Below are 17,975 nucleotides of genomic sequence, written 5' to 3'. Positions count from 1 at the left end.
TTCAAATACACAGTTTGATGATCACTGGTAGCTTTAATGAGTGGTGTAAACATCACATAAAACAGTTTTATAACTGATTTTTAGCCTTCCAATAGGATCATTCCTTATGTACACTTAATCCCCCTCCCCATTCCCAGCTCAGGCAATAATTAATCTACTTTCCCTCTCTAACAATTTGCCTTTTATGAATATCTCTTATAAATGGGATCATGCAATATGTGGTATCTTTTGTTTGGCTTGTTTCATGTAGCATCATGTTTGAAGTTCATCCATGACATAACATGTTTCAATTGTTTTTATTACTGAATAATATTTTATTGTATGAATATGCCATATTTTGTCTCTCCATCCTTTTTTGTCTATCTAGTTGATTAGCAGTTTTTCAGGTTTTGGATATGATGAATAAGGTACTATCAACATATGTTTTTGTGTGGAAATACGTTCTCTTTGGTAGGTGCTTAGGAGTGGAATTGCTGAGTCAAAAGATAATTTTATGTTTATCTTTCTGAGAAACTGTCAAGCCATAGTCCAAAGTGGCTGCACCAATTTACATTCCCACCAGGCCTGTTTCTCCACATCCTCACTGATATTTGTTATTGTCTGTCTTAATTATTATCACAATCAATCTAGTAAGCGTGAGTGGTATCTTATTGTGGTTTTAAACTGCATTTCTGTGGACAAGGGGATGGGAGTAAGCCAAGTTAAGACATCACAAAGTTCAGTCGTTTTTCTGGAATATAATTGCTCTTCAGAGTATTGTAAGCCTTTGATTAATTTCTGGAGTTCCAAAAATGTTGATTTTGCTGATATTTTGTTGTGTTTATTAAAGAGAGGATCTACCAAGTTCCTCAATCCACCATTCTAATAGTCTCACCTTGTCTGAAGTATTGTTGTTATGAGTTCTTCTGTTACTTTAACCTTCTAAAATTTATCCTTATTCAGAAATTTGTTAAGTCTCTCCTTTATTTTCTTGTTATTTGATATCTAAACATTTAAATTTTTTTCCTTTTTTTTTTTTTTTTCTGAGATGGAGTCTCACTCTGTCGCCCAGGCTGGAGTGCAATGGCCTGATCTCAGCTCACAGCAACCACCGCCTCCCGGGCTCAAGCGATTCTCCTGCTTCAGACTCCCAAGTAGCTGGGACTACAGGCATGTGTCACCACGCCCGACTAATTTTTTGTATTTTTAGTAGAGATGGGGTTTCACCCTGTTAGCCAGGATGGTCTCAATCTCCTGACCTTGTGATCCACCCACCTCGGCCTCCCAAAGTGCTGGGATTACAGGTGTGAGCCACCACGCCTGGCCAAATTTTTTTCTTTAGATATTTATTTTGACAGAAGCTAGCCAATTGTCCAACTATCACAGATTAAATAATACTTCTCTTTTCCAGATGTTCATTATTACTCTTTGTCAGCTATGAGCATTTTTTAAGTTTATATTTTTATTAACAATGATACTCTTATACTTTTTAAAAACACATACATTTTAAGGGAGAAAAAAATAGCCCACTGAAACACAATTCAAATATTACTTATATATTTTATTATTTATCTCTATATCTATGTAAGTTTTTAAAAGTAAGTTTAACCTGGACCTGTAGTCCCAGCACTTTGGGAGGCTGAGCCAGGCAGATCGCTTGCGGTCAGGAGTTCAAGACCAGCCTGGCCAACATGATGAAACCCCGTCTGTACTAAAAATACAAAATTAGCTGGGTGTGGTGGTAGGTGCCTGTAGTCCCAGCTACTCAGGAAGCTGAGGCAGGAGAACTGCTTGAACCTAGGAGGCGGAAGTTGCAGTGAGCTGATACTGCACCGTTGCACTCCAGCCTGGGTGACATAGTGAGATTCCATAAGAAAAAAAGTTTAACCTAGGTATAATTTTTACATGATCATATTGACAAATAAGGGCAGAGATATCTACTGATGACACGAAAAATTCTTCAGTTGGGTATGGAAAATGCAATGATAATGATGATGATGATGATGATAATGATAGTATCGGTAAGGACAGCAAGCACTTATATAGTGTCTACAGTGTGCCAAGGTCTGTTCTATGTAACATACATGCGTTAATTCATTTAATTTTCATATCAAATCTATGAAATAGAAACTATTATGATCCATGCTTTACACAGAAAGAAATTGAGCCACAGAGGAGTTAAATAACTTCCCCATGGTCACTCAGCTAGAAAATAGTGAAGCTGGGCTTGTAAATTTTTTTGCTGTTAAATCCCTATTGCTGTCCTTGCTTTACATGATTTATTTAAGGCATAGAGGGGTTAAAAGAGTTGTTCAACCAACAACTGGTAAAACCATGACTTGGATTTACTCAGATTCTAGAGGAGACAAAGAGTAACTACTGGGGACAGAATATCCACATGCCCCTAATTTTAAGATAGATAATTTGGGAAAGACAGTTTGAGGATAAAGAGATTCCTATTATCCAGATTACTTAGGGCTTACACTACATTCCATATATCCATTCCCTGCCTACTAGCCTGGAGAAGAGAACGGCAGACAGTTCAAATGTACCCAGACAGAAGGATATTGCTTGATTAACAGGAGTTTGAATTCTAAGATGAGCTACTAAAACATCTCACCTAGCAGCCATCTGCTTTTGGCAACATTCTGGCTGCAAGGGCAGAACCACTCCAAGGTACGAAAGGATGCTGGAAAAAAGGCATTACTGATACACTTATCAAACACCTATTTGACCATCTTTTTCCTTCTGGATGAACTAGCAGTCTGGGATGACTGATATGATACTCAAGAGTCAAGACACATTGATGGCTCTTAGGTCATGACAACTCTGGGCATGCCAGCATAATGTACGCGTGGAGTATGTCACACATATTGGCCAATTCAGACACATAGACCTTCTTAGATTACCATAGGATGACCACCGCAGGCAGAACACCCATTCTACCCCCTCTCCCTCTTCAGATTCCAGAAAGGCTCTGTTTTTTTCTGCCCAGGCAGCACACAAAGCAGGAAGGGGGTCAGCTGTGATCTCTCCAAATTGTAATGGACCATCTTCTTTTTTGTCTTCTTTTATCTGCATGAAACATTTATGTTCATTTTCCCAAAGTTTATCTGGCCATGGTTTTCATGTGATCACTCCAGCCAGTGATTACATGTCTGTTAATTTTAAAATGTTTACACTGACAGGTGACAGTTAGGTAGTGACAGTTTATAAAAATTTTATGTGTTTCTAAGCATTTGTTTACTTTAACTATTGAATGTAAACTTGGAATTTCTTCAACATGTAATGTTAAACATATGCCATGGATTTTGAACTCAATATAATGCATAAAAGTATTTATGAAAATCATATGCAACTCAGAGTGTCAAAGGAATATACTTTGGCAAAATCTGCTTTTGCCTTCTGTAATAATGTATTTAATCAGAGAAAATTATACATTACTTTTATGAAAGTTTGGTTATTAGGCTTATTTAGTGGTGACTAGAGTACAAATTTGTAAATTATATCATAATATATAGGACTTACTAAATTATACTTTGTTAATAGTACCTCCTAGAATGGTACTATATGAGCTAATTTTTTACAGTAGACATCAGTCATTTATTTTTAACCAGTCATGATAATATTTTATTAGACTTCAGAATCTGGTAGCAAACCCTGCTGTAGGACTTGTGAATAATAACAGAGAAAAGCAAATTGTTTCCTTTGGCCCATGAGCTAGATCACACTATAAAAGGATAGAATGATTCTGCACATCAAAGTAGGTTCAATGATGTGCCCATTCCTTCCACCATACTTGCCCCCATGAAGATTACTGATAGGTCTCCAGTGAATTACATTTCATCCTATTGTTTACATAGGAGAGTCCAATAAAACATAGTTTGAGTCTTCATTTATAATTCATATCATGTGACATATTCGAGTCAGTTTTTTAGAAAGAATTAAGGCAATATTTTCCTCTATCTTTTGTAAGATAGAACACTAAGTAAATTTTCTCAAAAAATCTTCTATTTTCTTTAATAAATTATTTTAGGATATTTGTTTTTCCAAATCTTCCAAGAAATGTTATCTCTCTTGTGTCAGAGAATTGTTGATGAACCTTGTGCTGAGGTTTTGTGTGTAAATGGATTTCCTCATCCATGAATGAAGAGCTTCCTATCCCAGAACTCTGAAGTTCCCCTTGAGAGGGCATGTGGGTCTTGACAGTGTCCATCTATCTTGTTCTGCAAACACATTCAATAGAAGTGCTTCAACGGGGTCACATATCTAACAAGCACTCAGCCCATGAGGCCATGCTATTCAGTGGTAGAATTTCTCTGACTGCTCTGTTCAAAGACCAATGTACTCTGCAGTTTTCCATTGTAAATTGTAATATGCTTAAGATACTGTAAGATGCTCTGCTTCTACAGTGCTCCTTTTCCTATTTGACCTATAACTTTTTACGGTTATTATCAATTTTAGGACACATTAGAGGACACTTGTCTCCTCTGCTCTTAGAATTTTTTGTGTCCTAGAGTAAAATTTTCTAAGTGAATATAAAAAGAGAGGAGCTGGCACTTAGCACCTGTAGTGGAAGCCATTGATGTCTTCCATTGACTGCACCCATGGTGCACTCATCTCCGAGCTGTAGCAGTCAATGTTGGCTGCCAACAACTCTCAGAAGCCTCCTTCCTGGATAATTGCTCTGGCCCAAGGTTTCTCACACTCTAGCATGTATCTGAATTACCTGGAGGCTGACTAAAACACAGATGTTTGGGTCGCAGATGACAAAATTGAGCATTTTACTATCTCTCCCTGACACTTGTAATTGGTAGAAAATAACTCCAGTCAGCTCAACTGGGGACTTGAATAGGAAGGAGATGTAATATGGACCTGTGGTGCCAGAGAGAGAGAGAGAGAAAGGGAGAGGGACAGCAATAAGCACAAATACACCTAGATTCATAATAACTTTTTAGCTCCTGGTTTTAGCACCTCCTTAGACCCAGCAGTACTCGCTACTTGTAAATTCTGTGAGATGGATTGATTCCCACCAGTAAACTCCTTCTTCCACTTCAGCTGACTAAAACTTTTTTCTCACTGCTACCAAATGATCCCTAGCCAACACAATCCTCTGCATCTTACACAGTGTTCAGTGAGACACAGATAGACAAGTTTAAAGGATGAATAAATGGATATACAGTTGTAGGTGTCTGCTTTTGTTATTCCTTTAAGATAAAGGAGAAATGACAAATGGAATTTCAATATTAAGGATGAAGATTGTTAAAAAAAACTGACAGAAAAATTTAAACATCATGGCAATCTGAGTTCATTTAAAGCAAGGTTTCTCAAATTGTGTCCCCAGAAGAGCAGTATCTTTCAAGAAATTGATTCATTTTATCTGGTTTATTTGTGGGCAAAGAGTTATGTATAATATTTATTTATTATCCTTTTAATATCCAAAGGATCAGTAGTGATGACCCCTCTTTCATTCCTGATATTAGTCATTTGTGTCTTCTCTCTTTTCTTTTGGGGGCAGGGGTATTAACCTGGGTAGAAGTCTATAAATTTTACTTATCTTTAAAAAAAAACAGCTCTTGGATTCATTGATTTTATGTATTGATCTCGTGTTTTCAAGATCACTGATTTCTGCTCTAGTTTTTGTAATTTTGTATCTTCTTCTTACTTTGGATTTAATTTGCTCTTCTTTTTCTAGTTTCCTAATGTGGAAGCTTAGATTTTTTGAGTTCAGGTTTTTTTTTTCTAATATACACATTCAATACTATAAGTTTCCTTTGAAATGCTGCTTTCACTGTATCCTACAAATTTTGATTTTTTTCTCCATTTTAATTTAGTTCAAATATATCTAATTTCTCCTGATACTTCTTATTTGACTGGTCTGTTATTTAATACTCTGTTTTATAATCTCCAAATATTTGGGGAATTTCCAACTATCATTCTGTTGTTTTAGTTTAATTTTATTGTGAACTGAGAGCTTATTTTGTGTGATTGTTATTCCTTCTATTTTACAGTGCATTACGTGGCCCAGAAAAAAATTAGTGTTTGCCCTAGAGTTTGCAATATACATTTACAAGTAATCTAAGTTCATTTTCAAGTAACACTGTGCTGCTTCATGTGTAGTACAGGTACCTTATTACAAAGCATTCTCAATTACTCCCTCCCATGCCTTGTAATATTTCTGTTACTGATTTCACTTACTCATAAGCTATAATCACCAAATATATTGCTGCTATTAGAATTTTAAACAAATCCATTTATCAATTAAGAATGGTAAAAATAAATAATTTTATTTTACCTTTGTTTAATTCCTTTTCTGATGCGATTCCTTCATTTGTATAGTTAGAGTTTCTGACCTAAATAATTTAATATTTCTTGCAAGGCAGGTCTACCGGCAACAAATTCCTTCAATTTTTGTCTGAGAAAGTCTTTATTTTTCTTTCACTTTTTAATGATAATTTTATTCTTTATAGAATTCTTGGTTGGTGCTTTTCTTCTTTCAATACGAAATATTTTACTCCACTTTCTTTTAACTGGCATGATTTCTATAGAAAAATCTGATATAATTCCTATCCTTGTTCATCTATAGTTAAGATGTTTTGGGTTTCCCCATCCTTGGCTTCTATCAAGATATTCCCTTTATCTCTGATTTTCTGCAGTGTGGCTATTATATACCTAGGTATGTATTTTTTGTGTTTATCTTATTTGGTGTTCTCTGAGATTCCTAGTGTTGTGTTTTGGCGTCTGTCATTAATTTTGGAAAATTCTTAGCCATTAAGTACTTCAAATGTTTTTTTCTATTCCTTTCTCTCTTCTTGCAGTATTCCAGTTACATGTTTGTTACACATTTTGTAACTGTCCAACAGTCTTAGATATTTTGTTTATTTTTTCATTTTTTTCTCCTTGCTTTTCAGTTTGGGAAGTTTCTATTGATATGTCTCCAGGTCTCTGATTCTTTCCTCAGCCTCCAGTCTGCCTATCAGGCCACTGAAAGAATTTTTTTTTTCTTTTTCTTGCAATATATAATTTTTTATTTTTAGCATATACTTTGTATTATTTCTTAGAATTTCTGTGTCTTCTCTGTTTATGGCATCCATCTTTTCTTATATGGGGTCTACTTTTTCAAGAGAGCACTTAGGATATTTAATAGTTATTTTCTATTTTCAGACTGAAAATTCCAATTTCTGCCACCTCTAAATCTAATTGTGATGCTGAATTTGTATGTTTAGATTATTATTTTTTACCTTTTAGCATGCCTTGTGATTTTGCTGTTGCTGTTCAAAGCCAGAAGTGACATATCAGGTACAAGGTGTTGAAATAAATAGGCCATTAGTATGAAGTTTTGTATTATCTGGCTGGGGTTAGGCTGTATCTACAGGTGTCAGAGGCTAAAATTTTCTTCTAGTATCTTTGTTATTGCACCTCCTTTTGTCTTTGGATTTCCTTTTAGACTCTTTCTTAAGTAGAGTCTGAGCTTTGCACTTATTTCAGCTGTAATCCCTTATTACTATTCAGTAGTCTAATTGGAAATGTGTGGGAGGAGGGGAAGTGTTCTACACTCCTGTGATTAATATTTTAGTGGGCTTCTGCCCTTGGTCCCTGACCTTCAAAGGTGCTTGTCAGCCTTGTTTTCCTCTTTAGGTGAGACAGGAAGGCTAGAGAAGGCTGGAACTGGGTATTTCCCTTCCCCAAGGTCCTTCAGTCTCTGGAAAAACCCAAATTGTTTAAGTTCTGATAAAATAGAGCAGGACTTTGTTAGGAAGAACAGAAGACTATGGGGATGTTTAAAAATGGTTGCTTTTCCTTTTCCTCTGCCAGAATCTTGATAGTATTTCCTGTGATCTTCACGCTGAGAACCTGGTGGGCCCCTGGAGGTAAACACTCCAGAACCTCCAGAACATATGACAGCTTCTTCAAGGCTGGCCCCAGGAGGTTTTACCCCTTGAGCCAGTCCATGTCAGTCTTCAACAGTTTGTCAATTCCCTGTAAGTGTTCCTACCAGATCATGTCTTCTGACTGCTTCTGTTCCTGCCAAATTGTGACTCTCTGTATTCCTCGTTTTCTTCAGGACTTTAATTCTCTGATGGAATTCAGTAGCATTGTTAACTTTCAATTTGTTCAGCTTTCTTTGGTTATGAGGATGGGATTGATGAGTTTAAAGTCTTTACATGTTGGACTGAAAGTCAAAATTTTTTTTTATTTGCAAAGTACCAATGATAAAAATTAAAATCACAACAATTTCATTAGTTTTTTCTTTAACACATAAAGGAAGGTTTGCTAAATCAATTTCCTAATACCTGTCCAGAGGTAAGATTTACAATGTTGAACCTGGGCGCTTTGCTCCAGAACACAGTTGTGGTTAAGGATCATTCCCCACTCTTGTGTTTTTCAGAACCCCCACCATTTTATGTTCCAGGAAATTGTTTACTGCAAAGAACCACCTTTCCCCATATGACTCAGATAAGATTTGATGTCCACTATTTATTGTGACTCTCCTAAGACTGACAGATGAGCTCCTTGTTTACCTATGACAAGGCCAGATACAAAAGCTCTAAATTCCCATTCTTTGGCTCACCAATGATTAGGTGAAATGTTTGTCCCGTGATATTAACTAGACACAGAAATAAACATTTCTTATTCAGCTGATTGAGACACTCCCTGATTATAGAAATAAGCCCAACTGGATGATTGTCCACCTGTAACTTGTTTATTCCTATTTATAAATGCCAAAGTAAAATCACCCTGCTGAGAAACTCTGATATTCAGATCTGGAGTGTTCTCCCTATTGTAATAGACTGAATAAAATCAGTTTACTTGTTTGAATTTTTGTCTTTGACACCCCCTTCTAACAAACTTATACATATTCTCCTTAGCTTTAAGAAAAAGTTTTAAAGGCTTTGTTATTTTAATGTGTTGTGAATTGTAATGAACTTTTCTACATTAAACTCTCACTAATAATTTCAAGACATAATAAGACATTTTGGCATTTAGTCATATTATCCCATGCCCCAAATAACCAATCATGCGTTATTAGTTGCAAGAAACAAGCTTTGATTTGAATGTCAATTTAGATAAATCTGTGATATTATAGGAAGGAATTATTTTTCAAAACATCGTTATTTTGATAGCTTTCACGGAAAAATACTAATAAGATTGCTTGCTAGTATTTTGACATTTATAGAATTATTCATAATCTTGTTTTGTTATTCAATATAAATCTTAACAGCATATTGGCACAGAGTCTGAAATAAATGCAAATAAACAAAAAATTAAATACCCAAACTAATCACACGTTCTTGCAAGTTGCTCATAAGTGATGCCTCTTGCAATTCTATGTTCTGAGAACTACAGATTTGATAGTCAAATTCAATTACATCACATCCTTGGCAGTATACATTCTTGTAACAGGATGTTCAAATGGAAACCTTTCTTTTTAGTTTTGGTGGAGACTTCAAATTCCAAGACGAAAACAATAGCAGGCAAGTGCTTCCACATTCCACACTGAGGTGATATACTACTGCCTATATATGACTAGCAAAGGAAACAGTGCAGAAACAAAAATGCAAACAGTTTCTTGAACTCTAGCTACATATCCTTTATAGCACAACATTTTTCAGGTTAAAGAGCTAAGAGGATTTTTTTTTATACAGTTGCTGAACTGCTATGGATTTTTTTTTTGTCTCTATTCAAAGAGGCAAAAAAGAATGGAGGGTGCCCTAGCCTTAACTGAAGTCAGCTATGGGATCTTTAATCTAATCACCTAGAGAGCTTGAGATATATACATATGTATATGTATCTGTATATCTGTATGTGGATATGAATGTATAGATATATGTATCTGTATATCTGTATCTGTATATGAATGTATATATAAGATATAAATGTATCTATATATACATTCATGTACATGTATATACATATATATACAATACATATGTCTCCTGGAGATATATATATATATATATATATATATACAGCTCCTGAAGTCAAAAAACAGAACATACAGGTTCCTGAGCAATCTCTGAGAGAAACAGGAAAAGAGAGCGGCAAAGCAGCCATCACAGACTTCCCTGCAATGTGTTTTTTGTGATACAGGGATTGTGCCAAGTGAGAAATAACGGGTCAGAGATTGATTTCAACTGTGATGAAGAGGACCATCTGCAGGTTTGATATGATCTCAACCAAAGGGATATATCTTCAGAAATCTAAGACTGAGTGGGAAGGGAAAAATAATACAATTTATTATCCAAGTCAGGGGAAGTGCAGTAGGACTTCGTGAAAGAGTCAGATGTAAACGTTTCCTAAAGCAGGATCACAACAGTAACAGACAAGTCATAATGTTTCTTCGCTCACTGCTCTTTTTTCTAATTCTTCTTATGCTATAGAGGATAGAAACCTGGGGACAAAAAGAAGCAATAGTTACAAAATAGAAATGATGGAGACACATTCCCTTTTTCATTGCAGGCTCCGTACCTGAAAAGGTACAACAAGGAGGGATGAAGAAAGATCACTGACCAGAAATAAAATTGGGAGTTTAGACAATTAAATTATCTGGACATTTTAATTCCTGAACTACGACTAGGCTACAACATGCGGACTGCTGTAGATGTCACCCAGGAACAGAAAATAACTAGCCTCGTGAGAAAGTTTTGAATGGGCAAAAGGGAAATTGAATACAATTGTTTTTTGCTTGCACCATATAGAGGCGTATTCTTTCTATGTACAGTGATAGGAAACTGGTGGTGTTTGACATCATCCAAAAACAGGGCCCATTTTTTGAATCATAAATTATCTTCATGAACACACCCATTGCCTTCAACATACAGCCTAAGTCTCATACTTTCTAAAATATCTCCGGTACCTGCTCCAGTTCTCAGTGATCACCAATTCCTTTGTCCTCCAATAACATAAATTTCTTTTCTACCTTGTACTTAGAATTCTGTTCAAACTATCTTGTTGTATTCAAAATAATTTTAACGAGCTATAGTTGACATAACATATTTAGTTATCTATCTATGTATCTGTCATCTATCAATCATCTGATGAGAATTTATCATTACACTCAAGATAATGAGCTCAGACATGATTCCCAAATATTTTCTCATCAGGCTTTGTAATTCTTCCCTCTCAACACTCCCCAGCATCCCCCAAACCCAATAAACCACTAATCTGCTTTCAGTCACTATAGATTCATTTATATTTTCTGAAATTTTATATACAATGGAATCATTCACTATGAACTCTTTTTCATCTGACGTCTTATATTCAGCATAATTATTTTCATATGTTTCCGTGTTGCAGAGTATAATTTCGTTACATAGATATTCTATCTTATTTATCAATTTACATTTTTGTAAAGATTGTGAAATAAAAATAAAATCCTAAGCCCTGCAACTGACTGAGCAGACACCTGTTGCCCAAGAAGACTCCAGAAAAACTTTGAAAAATTGAGTTTCCTGGTCATGACAAGGTGGGAGGTTGAGTACCTCTTGGTGTACCTCATTCCTTGCCAATCTTTACTAGATTATTTTCTAAGGGTTAAACAGAAACTGGCCCTGGAAAAATAAAGAAATGAAAACTCACTCCTTTGCTGATTTCAGCCAACTGCTGGACACTGCAGCTGGAATCCTCTCCCTTCTTGTAGTTTCTACACAGCAGCTCACCAGTTTCATAGCACATTCCTTTCTGATTTTTTACTACCAGCCATGGACTGGTTCTGGCCAGATACAGAGGCTGCCCACAAGATGTCTGTCATCTTTTAATGTATACAGCCTAATTTTAATACATTTAAATGTTAATTCTCCATCCTAAAGTGAACATGTGACATATGTAATATGTATGTTTGCTTACTAGCATATGTGTGTCCCTTGTGAATATTCATAACTCTTTTTATAACTTGTTGATATGTATACTTAGCCATCCTGTCCAGTATAAATTCCTGTCTCATCCTTCTTCCATTGAAGTACCTGCTTTTGATTTCTGCTGGAGGCTATGCTTCCCAGTCTGCAGGGTGGCCAGCCTGCAGGCGGAAACCCTTTATAAGAAACAAAGCTCTCCTCTCCAAATATATGGATCTCATGATTTCAAGTCTACAAGACTTAAGTTGTTTTCTTTTCTTTTTTTTTTTTTTTTTTTTTTTTGAGATGGAGTTTCACTCTTGTGGCCCAGGCTAAAGTGCAATGGCACGATCTCAGCTCACTGAAACCTCTGTCTCCTAGGTTCAAGCGATTCTCCTGCCTTGGCCTCCCAAGTAGTGGAAATTACAGGCACCTGCCACCATGCCTAGCTAATTTTTGAATTTTTAGTAGAGACGGAGTTTCGCCATGTTGGCCAGGCTGATCTCGAGCCCCTGACCTCAGGTGATTCACCTGCCTCAGCCTACCAAACTGCTGGGATTACAGGCATGAGCCAAGGCACCCAGACAGTTTTCAAACTACTGTTATAAATAAAGGTGCTGTAAACATTGGTGTACAATCTTTATCTGAACATCTGTTTTTATTTCTCATGAATAAATGCCTAGATGTTAAACGGCAGGATTATAAGGTAATTATATGTTAAACTTTCTAAGAAATTTCTGAACAGTTTTTTCAATTGCCTGTACAATTTTTACATTTCTACCAGTAGTGTATGAGAATTTCAGTTGTTTAACTCTCTTACCAATACTTGTTATCTAATTTAACTATTATCTGAATTATTGTTATTATCCAAATGAAATTTACTGATTCTAGTGAGTAGTAATATCTCACTGTAGTGTTAATTTGAATTTACTTACTCATGATGTTGCACATCTTTTCATATGCTGATTTGCCATAAATTGCTGGATTACAGCTAATAAAAATAAACAAAATGAAATCATAAAAATACTAAATTAGCCCTAAAGAAAAAAAAAAAGAAAGGAAAGAGGAAGAAGAAAAAAAAATGGGACAAATAGAAAACAATGGGTAAGGAGACAGTATTAATTAATAATATCAATAACCACATTACATATAAATAGTCTAAATACTCAAAAGGCAGATATTGCTAGATAAAGTAGCAAGAATTGCTTATCACTGCCTTAAAAAACCTAATTTGAGTATATAGATAGCAATGGGGTAGAAATAACTGAATGGGAAAATATATACTAATATTAATGAAAAAATGCTAAAATGACTACAGTAATTTTAGACAGAGTGGGTTTCAGAGATAAAAAATATTCAAAGGAGCCACTGAAAACTATTTAACTTCCATCTATAATGTTTATTTTTTCTAGTGTTGCTTTATGCTAAAAGAACATTTTAATTTATTGCACTTGACTTGTTAAATACCTTGATTCTTTGTAATTTTAGGAATAAAGTATAGTTAATTTAAAGAAGAACTTTCAATGTAGCCTTTATATCACATTATAACTTTCCTCAGAAGGGTAATAGAAGCACTGATTCATAGTAAGAATCTTCTTTTTAACTTTTAGAAAATGTATTAAAAGAGCTAACGAAGACCACTGCATAATGATATAGGAGGTCAACTGATAGAAAATAACAGTTCAAAATATGTGTATGCCAAGTAACACAGCTTCAAAATACAGAAAGAAAGCAATGATGGTACTGCAAGAAAAACAGAGAAATTCACACATGTAGGATAAGATTGCATTCTTCTTTAAAGAAGTCAACCAACTAGACTTCATTTATATTTATAAACAATCTATTCAACAACAACAAAGTACATATTCATTTTAAGTGCACACAGAACGTTTACCATAAAATGTTATATTCTGGGCCATAAAAAAGTTCTCTATATTTCTAGGAAGGTCTCAAATTATACAGAGCATGTTATCTGACCAACATAAAATTAAATTAACAACCAATAACTAATATATTAGAAAAATCTTCAAACATCCAGAAACTACAAGATAAACTTCTAAGTAAACTATGGATCAAAGAAGACATAAAAAAAAATTAGAAAGTTTTTTGAACTGAATAAAAACGAAAACATACCAAAAGTTTAGCTTGTAACTAAAACTGTACTTAAAGACAAATTTATAACACTAAATACCTATGTTTAAAAAAGAGAAAAGGTATCAAATCAGTGATTTAAACTTTCATGTTAAGAAACTAACACAATTTGAAAAATATCAATCCCAAATAGAGCAGAAGAAATGAAATACTAAATGTAAAGGTAAAAAGAGAAAACAGAGAAAAATCAATAAAAGTGAAAGCTGCTTCTTTGAGAAGACAAATACATTTCTAGCTAGATTGATTTAAAAAAATAAAAATGAAGGCACAAATTACCGAACTAGTAATGAGAGAGGTGACATCACTGGTAATTTTGCACACATTAGAAGGATAATAAGCAGATATAATACATTTTATGACAAATTTAACAATTTCAATTTCAATGAAAAAATTCCTTGAAAGACACAAACCAACAAAGCTCACTAAAAAATAAATATAACTCAAAAAGCCGTAACTCTTTTAAATAAATTGAGCTTATAGTTAAACTTTTCCATGAGGAAAAATTGTGGATCAGATAGCTTCATGGGGAAATTCCACCAAAGTGTCAAGGAAAGAATAATAATTCTGCACAAACTCTTAGAAAATTGAAGAGGACAGAATGTTTTTCAATCCTATAAGGCCATTATGATCCTGATACCAAAGCCAAATAAGAGAAAACTGGAGATGAAAATCCATCATGAACATCGACGCAAAAATTTCTACCAAGGTTTTACCAAATGTTTATGTCACACACACACACGCATCTCATGACATATATAATATGTCATATATATGTCATGTCTCATATATAATCTCATGACAAAATGGGGCTTTATTCTAGGAATGCCTGCCTGGTTTAAGATTTTCAATTCAACCAATGTGATTCTTTTTAATAACAGCTGAAAAAGGTAATCTGTATAGCTGGAGAAAAGTTATTTGATAAAACACACCATCCGTTTCTAATAAAAGCTCTGAAGAAACCAAGAATAGAAGTGAACTTCCTCAAACTGAGAAGGTGAGGAGATTGAGTTGTTTTACAACTAGACTGAAAAAGTTGTGTTTTGTTTTGTTTTGTTTTGTTTTTGTTGTTTGTTTTTTTTTTTTTAATCTCTGAGGATGCCTCATTTGTGACTCTTGGTCAGGATAAGAGTAATGGCATTTATGTTATGCTGTTTAAGGTCCAAAACTCTCCTAATGGCCTTCAAAATCAGTTTCTTTACTGATATTTGCAACTGGCCTAACCATTTTGTCCAGCATGGCTGGAGATACAGATTGTTACATATGTGGGACATGAATATGAATAGTGGTCCCGGGGAAACTTCTTGTGGAATGTCTCTTTGGTATCTGATGCTTGCCTCAATTCTCTTTCTCTTTCTGTATCTAATCCGTTGCCTTTTAATAATAATCTTACATGTGTGTGTTCCATAGAGTCTGATGACTCCTTAAATATCCCTAAATGGAATCTATGAAAAACTAACAACTCAAATCGTACTTAATGGTGAAGACGGAATACTATACCTGTAAATTCAGGAACAAAGCAAAGTGGTCAAAGTGGTACACTCTTTATTATTTCTATTCAACATTTTACTGGAGATTCCAGCCTGTGTAATCAGGTTGAAAAAGAAATAAAAGGCAATCACTTATGTAAAAAATTCTAAAAAATCTACAAAGAAACTATCAGAATTAGTAAATGAGTTTAGCAAGGTTTCAGGATACAAGATCAATTTACAAAATTAATTATATTTCTATTATACTAGCCATGAGCAATTAGAAAAATGAACTTATAAAATGATATTATTTATAATGGTATAAAAATATAAACTACTTATGGATAAATTTGACAAAGAGGTATAAGTTCTAGACACTGGAAACTACAAAAGATACCTAGCATAAATTAAAGATTGAATATGTGGAGAAATATGGTGCATTCAGAGTGTGATGACTCAGTATTGTTAAAACATCAATTCCCTGCAAATTCATTCAATGCGAGCCCAGTCAAAATCTCAGTAGACTTTGCTGTAGAAATTGTTTGTTTTAAAATTTATATGGAAATACAAAGAACTTAGAATAATGAAAACATCATTGAAAAAGAAAAATAATTTTGAAGGACTTTTCACTATCTGATTTGAAGACTTATTATACAAGTTTAGTAATCAAGAAAGTGAGTATTGCTGTAATCATAGGAAAACAGATCAATTGATTATAGACATTAAATATAAATTCATGCATTTATGGTCAATCAATTTTTGCCAAAGGTCCCCAAGAATTTCAACTGGGAAGGATAAGCATTTCAACATACGCTACTGGAAAAATTTTATAGCCATAGGCAAAAAAAGAAGCCTTATTTTATGTCATACGTAAAAATAACTCAAAATGGATCAAAAACCTAAAACTATAAAAGTTTTGGAAGACAAAAAGAAAATCTTAGTGACCTTGAGCTTGGCAAATATTTTTTAAACTATAACACAAAAAGCAAGAACAGACTCAGTACATTTGACATTATCAAAATTAAAATTGTTAGGTTTTCAAAAGGCACTGTTATAAAAACAAAAAGGCAAGCAAAAACCTGAGAAAAAAATATTTGCAGGACATGTATCTGAGAAATAACTTGTGTTTAGAATATATAAAGAATTCTTCTAACTCAATAATAAGAAAATAAACAACATAATTTAAAAATGGGCAAAAGATTTGAACAGACACTCTTATTTTGATTTTTAGCTTTTCATGTGGGTAAGCCCTGAATAACCTACATTTCTTTAAGCTATCAGCACCAATCACAGTTAATAAATATGTTTTGAAAATGTCCAAACTGATAGGGAATGACTTAAATAAAAATCTGCTGCCATAAAAGTTATACTTTTCTCTACAATCTTTATTAGAGTTAACAGTGGAATAAACTAATATGGATGTTCAGACTACTGAACATACCAGTTCACCAATGCTCTACTTTTGTTTCTGTTTGATTTTGGTGCCTTTTTGCTTCGATAGTCTAGACATAGCCTGTGTTTCTTAGACATGTTTATAAATACATTGGAAAGGTGGTCTAAATAAAGGCATTGCTGAAATACAAAGCATCTTTTTGTTATACAGGGCTGTTATTAAGAAAAGATTCCAAAATAAGGCTTCTGGCAGTGAATCATAGATTCTGACTGATGTTTTCTACAGATGAGGGTTCAGCTCCACCTTTCTCAAAAATGTAAGTTTTAGAAGGAGAGGCCTTTCTTTCAAAGCCCTTGGGAAAAAAATTGTAGTGTAGACTGTGTTTCTTAAAACCACTCCTACCATTGTTTGAAATCCAATGGCAAAGGTCTTCTCTGGTAAATAAATGATTTTGAAACTCTAAAGCTTTCAACATATTTTGCTCCTAGATTTGAAGCTACAGCCTTGCAGTAGGATCTAAAAAATAAAAGAAGGGGAAACATTAAGGAAGCTAATTTTCCCTCATGAATGTGAAATTAAGTGTGAAAGTAAAGGTTCTTTGTGCCCTAAAATATGAAAGAGGCTTAGCAAATTACATTATCCAAAGCTTTATTTCATACATAAGGAAACTGAGACCCAGAGCAGGGTGGTGCTGGACCCAGGAGTGGAAACCTTAAGCCAGGATTCTACCTCTAATCCAGTGGTTTTTTCCATTACACCTTCTAAATGACAGGAGGAAATAATCTCTGACAACACAATTAAGACCACTTAAAGAGGTCAGATAAATTGCCCAAGGTCACGTAGCCAGTAAGTGGCAGTGCTGGTACAAGAATCTAGATATGTGAGACCCCAATGCCCATGATTTATACTATGCCATCATATTTTTAATATATTACTGTAAAACCAATTGAGCATATTTCTATTAAAATATATTTGAGTTTCATGAAAGAAGCTTTCTGGTTTTGTTCGTCAATATGTTCTTTAACATACCATAAATACACAATAAATATTGAATATTCATTCATAAGTTTATACATATTGATTGATTTTAATACACATAATGTTTACCCTGAATGCTTACCAACTATTCACTTAGAAGGCAATGGACATGTG

General features: G+C 34.3%; 1 long non-coding RNA gene across 1 annotated transcript in view; it reads left to right on the top strand.

Moving 5' to 3' along the window:
• Nucleotides 1-12,036, top strand: part of LOC105375167 (uncharacterized) — a 67,988-nt gene extending 55,952 nt beyond the window's left edge. Inside the window, exon 3 of the long non-coding RNA XR_927058.2 lies at nucleotides 10,441-12,036. This is a non-coding gene — a long non-coding RNA (uncharacterized LOC105375167). The remainder of the gene's footprint in view (nucleotides 1-10,440) is intronic.
• The last annotated feature ends 5,939 nt before the right edge of the window (nucleotides 12,037-17,975 follow it).

This window comes from Homo sapiens, chromosome 7 (genome assembly GCF_000001405.40).
Source record: "Homo sapiens chromosome 7, GRCh38.p14 Primary Assembly".
NCBI classification, from domain to species: domain Eukaryota; kingdom Metazoa; phylum Chordata; class Mammalia; order Primates; family Hominidae; genus Homo; species Homo sapiens.
The sequence above is the reverse complement of the archived record's forward strand: the minus strand, read 5'-3'. Positions and strand labels throughout refer to the sequence as shown.